The following is an 8,717-nucleotide window of genomic DNA, read 5'->3' as shown; positions in this document are numbered from 1 at the left end:
CTCTCTTCTTCCGTACACCCACATCCCAGGAAGCACTGTGTGGGTGAGGGAGGTTTTCTTTCTCTCGCTTTTTTTTTTTTTTTTTTTTTTTGAGAAGGAGTCTTGCTCTGTCGCCCAGGCTGGAGTGCAGTGGCACGATCTTGGCTCCCTGCAACCTCCACCTCCCGGGTTCAAGTGATTCTCCTGCCTCAGCCTCCTGAGTAGCTGGGACTACAGACGCATGCCACCACGCCCTGCTAATTTTTTGTATTTTTAGTAGAGAAGCGGTTTCACCGTGTTAGCCAGGATGGTCTTGATCTCCTGACTTCGTGATCCGCCCGCCTCGGCCTCCCAAAGTGTTGGGATTACAGGCGTGAGCCACCGCGCCCGGCCTGGGTTGGGGAGATTTTCAAGCCCCTCCAGCTGGTCCCACAGGGCCCCGACCCCCAGGGAGGCTCAGGCTCACAGCACCCGGGAGCGGTGGACACCAGGGGCTTCCACCTGCCTGCTTGGGGGCTCCCTACTCTGTGGGAACGGGTTCGAATTGGACTGACGCAAGCCCTGGCTGCAGGGAGGGGCCATCCCATCAGTTCCCAGGGCCCCCACCCTGGGCTGCAATGATTGGTTCAGGAACAAGCATGTGACTCCTGACGTCCAATGAGATTCAGCTCTGGGACATTTCTCTGGGATCACAGTGCTGGGGTGGCTGAGCTGGAAGGACCTGGGGCTGGAGTTACGGGGTCATGGTGTCACCACGGGGCCTCCGAACAAAGGCGGCATCACAGGAAAGCCGAGCCGGCTGATGAGAGGGGAAACGTTGATAATCCTATTAGTGATCCTGCATCATGCTGTTACCTGACCTCCCCTGGATGTTCCAATGATGCAAGCTCATGAATTCTTGCCTCTTAGTTCGTTTGTGTTGAGATGGAGTCTCTCTGTGTCACCCAAGCTGGAGTCCAGTGGCGCAATCTCAGCTCATTGCAACCTCTGCCTCCCAGGCTTAAGCAATCCTCCCACCTGTCTCCGAAGTAGCTAGGATCACAAGCGTGCACTGTCACACCCAGCTAATTTTTGAATTTTTAGTAGAGATGGGGTTTTACCATGTTGGCCAGGCTGGTCTCGATCTCTCAGCCTCAAGTGATCCTCCTGCCTTGGCCTCTTAAAGTACTGGAATTACAGGCGTGAGCCACCACGCCCAGCCTTTTTAGTTTATTTTCCTTTCCTCCCTCCCTGCCCCCGTTCCTGTTGCTCAGGCTGGCCTTGAACTCCTGGGCTCAAACAGTCCTCCCACCTCAGCCTCCCAGGTAGCTGGGACCACACGTGCACACCACCACAACCAGGTTAAATTCCTTCTTCGTGCCGGGCGCCGTGGCTCACACCTGTAATCCCAGCACTTTGGGAGGCCGAGGAGGGTGGATCACCTGAGGTCAGGAGTTCCAGACCAGCCTGACCAACATGGAGAAACCCTGTCTCTACTAAAAATACAAAATTAGCCGGGCGTGGTGGCACATGCCTATAATTCCAGCTGCTCGGGAGGGTGAGGCCCAAGAATCGCTTGAACCTGGGAGGCGGAGGTTGTGGTGAGTCAAGATCACGCCATTGCACTCCAGCCTGGGCAACAAGAGTGAAACTCCATCTCAAAAATAAATAAATAAGTAAAAATAAATTCCTTCTTCGTTAATTAAGCCAGTTTGAGTTAGGTTTTCCATCACATGGCAGAGAAGAACCTTAAATTCAAATCTAGTTTCTGCCACGACCTTGGAAATATCGCTCAAACATTAAACCCAGTCTCAGGTTTATTTAATTAATTTATTTATTTAATTATTTTTTTTTTGAGATGGCGTCTTGCTCTGTCACCCAGGCTGGAGCGCAGTGGCTCCATCTCTTCTCACTGCATCCTTTGCTTCCCGGGTTCAAGTGATCCTCCTGCCTCAGCCTCCCAAGTGGGTGACTTGTGCCACCATGCCAGCTAATTTTTATATTTTTAGTAGAGATGGGGTTTCACCATGTTGGCCAGGCTGGTCTGGAACTCCTGACCTCATGTGATCCACCCTCCTTGGCCTCCCAAAGTGCTGGGATTACAGACATGAGCCACCGTGCCTGGCCTATGAGTTTCAGTTTTTTATTTTATTTTATTATTTTATTTTGAGACAGAGTCTCACTCTGTTGCCCAGGCTGGAGTGCAGTGACACGATCTTGGCTCATTGCAATCTCTGCCTCCTGGGTTCAAGCAATTCTCCTGCCTCAGCCTCCCGAGTAGCTGGGATTACAGGTGCGCCACCATACTCGGCTAATTTTTGTAGTTTTAGTAGTGACGGGGTTTCGCCATGTTGGCCAGGCTGGTCTCGAACTCCTGACCTCAGGTGATCCGCCTGCCTCGGCCTCTGAAACTGCTGGGATGACAGGCATGAGCCACCGCGCCCAGCCCGACTTTCAGTTTTTTAATTTGAAAGTGGGTTAGATAAGATAGTTGTACAAAGGTCTTCCTGTGGAGCCCAAGATGTCACTGAGACTCTTACACGATGGCATCTTGCTGCTCTCATGCCTTGTAGGGAAGAAAGACAGTTCTCAGAAGGCAGAGGGGTGCATGTGGGAGGATATGGTCCTCAGGGGAGAGGGACAGGGAGCCAGGACACAGCAGCTGTGGGGCGTTGGGCAACATGGCCAGACCTCGTCTCCACAAAAAAAAAAAAAAAAAAAAAAAAAAAAAAAAAAAAATGTTTCTTAAGCAGCCAGGTGTGATGGTACATACCTGTGGTCCCAGCTACTTGGGAGGCTGAGGCAGGAGGATCGCCTGAGCCCAGGAGTTTGAGGCTGCAGTGAGCTGTGATTTTACCACTGCACTCCAGCCTGAGCCACAGAGCGAGACCCTGTCTAAAAAAAAAAAAAGGGGAAAAACGCAAAAGGCTGTGGGGCCCGTGTGCTTCCAGATGCATCAGAACAGGCTTCCAGGTCAGCTTTCCTCTGTGCAGTCCCGGGCCAGTTCCTCACCGTGGAAGAGGGAATAAGGCCCCCAAGACATCCACATCCTGATCCCCAGAATCTGTGGCTGTACCACCTCAGGTGGCAAAAGGGACTCTACAGGTGTGATAAGAACCCTGAGACGGCAGAGCATCCGGGGTGATGGGGGCCCATGTCCTCACAGGGTCCGTTTAAGAGGGCGGTGGGGGGCGGGCGCCGAGAGTCAGAGACTGGAAGAGGTTGCGCTCTTGGAGGTGAAGGGGGAGGAAGGGCCTGGAGCTGAGGGATGCGGGCGCCTCTGGACTCTGGGAAAGGAGGAAACAGGTTCTCCCTGGAGCCCCCAGGAGGGACCAGCCCTGTTCATGCCTCGATTTTAGAAGTTCTGCCTTCCAGAGCTGTGAGATGGTACGTCCACGCTAAGTCACTAAATTTGTTACTACAGCTACAGGGATTAACACACCTCAATGACTTCCAGCTTCTTCCTAGGGGAAAATTGCTTCCTTCTTTCCCTCCCTTCCTCTCCCCCTCTCTTCCCTTCCCCTCCCTTCCCCTCCCCTCCTCCTCCCCTCCCCTCTGCTCCCTTCCCCTCCCCCTCCCCTCTCTTCCCATCCCCCTCCCCTCTCTTCCTATCCCCCTCCCCTCCTTTCCCCTCCTTTCCCCTCCTTTCCCCTCCCCTCCCCTCCACTCCCCTTCCCTTCCATTCCCTTCCCCTTCCCTTCCCTTGCCCTCCTTCCCTCTCTCCTTCTCTTCCTTCTCTTCTATGTGTAAATCTAGGTTCTGGGGATTGAGCAGTGAACAAAAGCAGTAAACTTCTTGCCCTTGGGTTCACAGGGAGAGAGGCCACAAACCAGCATATAAATACATAAATAAGCAGTTTCTAAAGAATGCCAGGGGTTAGAGAGCCACCGGGATGGTGTAGGAAGGCATCTTGGACTCAGGAGGTGACATATAAGCAGAGACCCAGGTGGCGTGGGGAAGCAGCAGGCAGGTCTGCGGGAACAGTGCTGCAGGGAGAGGGAACAGCACGTCCAGGGGCCCTGAGGTGGGGACAGCCCGACTGGCTAGAGGCCCAGGGTCTGGGTGGTGAGTGCGGGACAGAGGTGAGAAGACGCTGGGGAGCCTCCCGCTCAGCTGTCCTGAGTGCCGGCTTTATTCGCAGACATGGCGGAGGTGAGGGCTGCAAAGTCTAGCCCATGCACCCAACCCAGCCGCCCAGCACTGCGCTCCCGGAAACAGCTCCCGGCTGCATCTCACTGGCCAGCTGGGTTTCTCTGAACCCATCGCTGAGGCTGGGGGAGGGATGCTTTGACTGGCTGGTGGGGACTGGGAGTCCATTTGGGCGAGGGTGTTGGCTGGACCAGCCGGGGGCGGTGAAGGGCTGGGGGTCCAGGTGGGAGAGGGTGTTGGCTGGACCAGCCGGGGGCGCGGTGAAGGGCTGGGGGTCCAGGTGGGAGAGGGTGTTGGCTGGACCAGCCGGGGGCGGTGAAGGGCTGGGGGTCCAGGTGGGAGAGGGTGTTGGCTGGACCAGCCGGGGGCGGTGAAGGGCTGGGGGTCCAGGTGGGAGAGGGTGTTGGCTGGACCAGCCGGGGGCGGTGAAGGGCTGGGGGTCCAGGTGGGCGAGGGTGTTGGCTGGACCAGCCGGGGGCGGTGAAGGGCTGGGGGTCCAGGTGGGAGAGGGTGTTGGCTGGACCAGCCGGGGGCGTGGTGAAGGGCTGGGGGTCCAGGTGGGCGAGGGTGTTGGCTGGACCAGCCGGGGGCGGTGAAGGGCTGGGGGTCCAGGTGGGCGAGGGTGTTGGCTGGACCAGCCGGGGGCAGTGAAGGGAGGGCAGGCAGGGTGCCTCAGGATGAGGTGTGGTGAGGGCCGCTGTGGAGCCCGGGAAGGCGTCTGGCCGTGGTCTCAGTGCTCAGTGGATCGGGTGAGAGGCTTCCACAGAGACCAGAAACTCTGGAGGAGCCCGGGGTCCAGGGAGCCGGCCGGAAGCTCCGTCTTGGATGTGTCAGGCTTGGGATGTCCCCAGGGAGCCAGCAGAGGACTGTTGGGAGGAGGGGAGGCCCTGGATGAAGCCACCAGAGGAGCTGGGGAGAGAGAGGAAGCTTCCAAGGGGGACTGTGGGGTGGGGCAGGAGCCTGTGGGTGCTGCCAGAGGGGATTGCCGCGCTCTATGCTGCTGTGAGGCCAGGGAGGACGCGTCAGCTTCCGGGCTGCGCTGGTAAGGGTCATGCCGGGATTAGGACAGACGGGGTCCTCGGGACCTGAGGGCGGGCACAGTGGGCGGCACAGGGTCAGGGATCAGGGGAGGCCCCGGGGAGCTGGGCGGGGCAGGGGAGGTGGGCTTCGGTCGGCCTTGGCCTCAAGGGACCGGGGCGGAGTGTGAGGTGCACCCTGGGACCAGCTTTGGTGTCCTCTGATTGGTCACTCCTGGAAGCCTCCGTGCCCTGCGTCCCTGTCCGGGTGTCCAGGATTTAAGCCCACCTCAGCCTGCCTGGCTGTGGGCTTCGGGAGGACAGGGGCCTCTCCTATGTTTTTTTTTTTTTTTTTTTTTTGAGATGGAGTCTCGCTCTGTCGCCCAGGCTGGAGTGCAGTGGCGCGATCTCGGCTCACTGCAAGCTCTGCCTCCCGGGTTCACGCCATTCTCCTGCCTCAGCCTCCCGAGTAGCTGGGACTACAGGCGCCCGCCACCGCGCCCGGCTAAATTTTTGTATTTTTGGTAGAGACGGGGTTTCACCGTGTTAGCCAGGATGGTCTCGATCTCCTGACCTCATGATCTGCCCGCCTCGGCCTCCCAAAGTGCTGGGATGACAGGCGTGAGCCACCGCGCCCGGCTCTCCTGTGTTTTGTGTCCTGTTGCTCAGCCCCCAGCCCGTGCTCACCGGAAATGCCGCTGAGCCCCCGGCCCGTGCTCACCGGAAATGCCGCTGAGCCCCCGGCCCGTGCTCACCGGAAATGCCGCTGAGCCCCCGGCCCGTGCTCACCGGAAATGCTGCGGAGCCCCCGGCCCGTGCTCACTGGAAATGCTGAGCCCCCGGCCCGTGCTCACCGGAAATGCTGCTGAGCCCCCGGCCCGTGCTCACCGGAAATGCTGCTGAGCCCCCGGCCCGTGCTCACCGGAAATGCTGAGCCCCCGGCCCGTGCTCACCGGAAATGCTGCTGAGCCCCCGGCCCGTGCTCACCGGAAATGCTGCGGAGCACCCGGCCCGTGCTCACTGGAAATGCCGAGCCCCCGGCCCGTGCTCACTGAAATGCTGAGCCCCCGGCCCGTGCTCACCGGAATTGCTGCTGAGCCCTCGGCCCGTGCTCACCGGAAATGCTGAGCCCCCGGCCCGTGCTCACCGGAAATGCTGCTGAGCCCCCGGCCCGTGCTCACTGAAATGCTCTGGCGTATGACCTGTAAGGCTCACACCTGTAAGGGGCGTTTGTGGTAGCCTAACAGCACCTGTGGATGGAGTGGGCACCTTTCATTAATCTTTGTTACTCATTGCTGCGTAATGAATCACCCCAAATTTGGTAGCCTAGAACCACAACTGTCATTTATTCAGCTCCTGAGTCTGCACAGCAGGAGCTGCCGTCAGCGCAGGCATCGCAGCTGGTGCCCAGTCCAGAGGGTGAGCGTCCCGCAGGGGCCCTGCCTTGGAAGGAGCTCCAGTCCCGCAGGGGGATGCGGATTCTACCTCTCCATCTGCCTCTGCGGCGGGGAGTGGAACCATTATTGTGGCTTTTTTTGGGAAACAGGCGATTTGCCAGGATTCATTCCTGTATTGATTCATTGGTTCATTGATCACCTATCCTAAGCCCAGCTCAGTGCTGGGAAACTGGGAGACAGGAGTGGTCTCTGCCATCGTGGAACTTGTAAAAATTTAAAAATTCTGTTCCCGGCCAGACACGGTGGCTCATGCCTGTAATCTCAGCACTTTGGGAGGCTAAGGTGTGTGGATTACAAGGTCAGGAGTTCAAGACCAGCCTGACCAACATGGTGAAACCCCATCTCTACTAAAAATACAAAAATTAGCCAGGCACGGTGGCACGTGCCTGTGATCCCAGCTACTCAGGAGGCTGAGACAGGAGAATTATTTGAACCTGGGAGGCAGATGTTGCAGTGAGACGAGATTGAGCCACTGCACTCGAGCTTGGGTGACAGAGCGAGACTCCGTCTAAAAAAAAAAAGAAGGCCAGGCACGGTGGCTCACGCCTGTCATCCCACCACTTTGGGAGGCCGAGGCAGGCGGATCATGAGGTCAGGAGATCGTGACCATACTGGCTAACACGGTGAAACCCCGTCTCTACTAAAAATGCAAAAAATTAGCTGGGCGTGGTGGTGGGCACCTGTAGTCCCAGCTACTCGGGATGCTGAGGCAGGAGAATGGCGAATGGTGTGAACCCAGGAGGCGGAGCTTGCAGTAAGCCGAGATCACGCCACTGGACTCCAGCCTGGGTGATAGAGCGAGACTCTGTCTCAAAAAATTAAAATAAAATAAAATTCTGTTCCCGTGTGTGGTGTTAGAATAGAGAGTAGTTTTCTTCCTCAGTTCCCGGATCATAGCTCCTGAAGCCCTAGTTGCAGTCTTTTGCTGCACTGCTGAGCTCGTTAGGCCTCAGGAAATAATCTCCCGCCCTCCTCTGGGCTGCAGAGCTCTAATCTTACCTTTTCGATTACGGGTCTTGGGACCCTCCCCAAAGAGGGTCCTGCCCTATACCCCTGGGGAAGTAATGCTGACATCATGAAGCTTCCATAAAATCCCTAGGCCGCGTGTGGTGGCTCACGCCTGTAATCCCAGCACTTTGGGAGGCTGAGGTGGGTGGATCACCTGAGGTCAGGAGCTTGAGACCAGCCTGGCCAACGTGGTGAAACCCCGTCTCTACTAAAAATACAAAAGTTAGCCAGGTGTGGTGGTGGGCGCCTGTAATCCCAGGTACTCAGGAGGCTGAGCCAGAAGAATCGCTTGAACTCAGGAGGGGGAGGTTGCAGTGAGCCGAGATTGCGCCACTGCACTCCAGCCTGGGTGGCAGAGCAAGACTCCGTCTCAAAAATGAACAAACAAACAAAAAACCACGAAACCCTAGAGAACTGGGTTCTGGGGAGCTTCCAAGAGCTGAACATGTGGAGATGCCTGGAAGCTCTGAGATGGTGCCCTGTGCATCCTCATGGCACTCCAATCCCCACCCTACACGTACCTCACCTGTGGTCCCTTCTTCTGCTATCTTTGCCACATCCTTTATAGTAAACCAGGAAACACAAGTGTTTCCGAGTTCAGTGAGCTGCTCCAGCAAATTAATTGAACCCAAAGGGGTGCTGGGAACCCCAACTTGAACCCGGCCAGACCGAAGTCCTGGAAGCCCAGATTCGCAACTGGTGTCTGAAGAGGGAGAGGCTCGGGGACTGAGCCCTCGGCCTGTGGGATCTGACACTATCTCTGGGTAGAAGGCGTCAGAGCTGAATTAAGAGGACACCCGGCTGGCGTCTGCTGGTTGGTGTGTGGGAAAAAACGCTCCCACATGTGGTCACAGAAGTCTTTTCTGTGTGGATGACTGTGATGTGGCGGTGACAGCAGGGGAGAAACAAGGCTTGAGTGTTCTCTATGTCCGATTGGACCCCCTCCACCAGAACAGGCTGTGGGGACTCCCATTTAACAGGAGACACTGAGGCCAAGGGAGTGAAGTCACCTGCCAGCAACTGGAGCTGGAGTTCTGGATTCACTTTTTATTTTTTTATTTTTTTGAGACGGAGTCTCGCTCTGTCACCCAGGCTGGAGTGCAGTGGCGCGATCTCGGCTCACTGCAAG

This window comes from Homo sapiens, chromosome 19, assembly GCF_000001405.40.
Source record: "Homo sapiens chromosome 19, GRCh38.p14 Primary Assembly".
Lineage (NCBI taxonomy): Eukaryota > Metazoa > Chordata > Mammalia > Primates > Hominidae > Homo > Homo sapiens.
Note: the sequence above shows the minus strand (reverse complement) of the source record.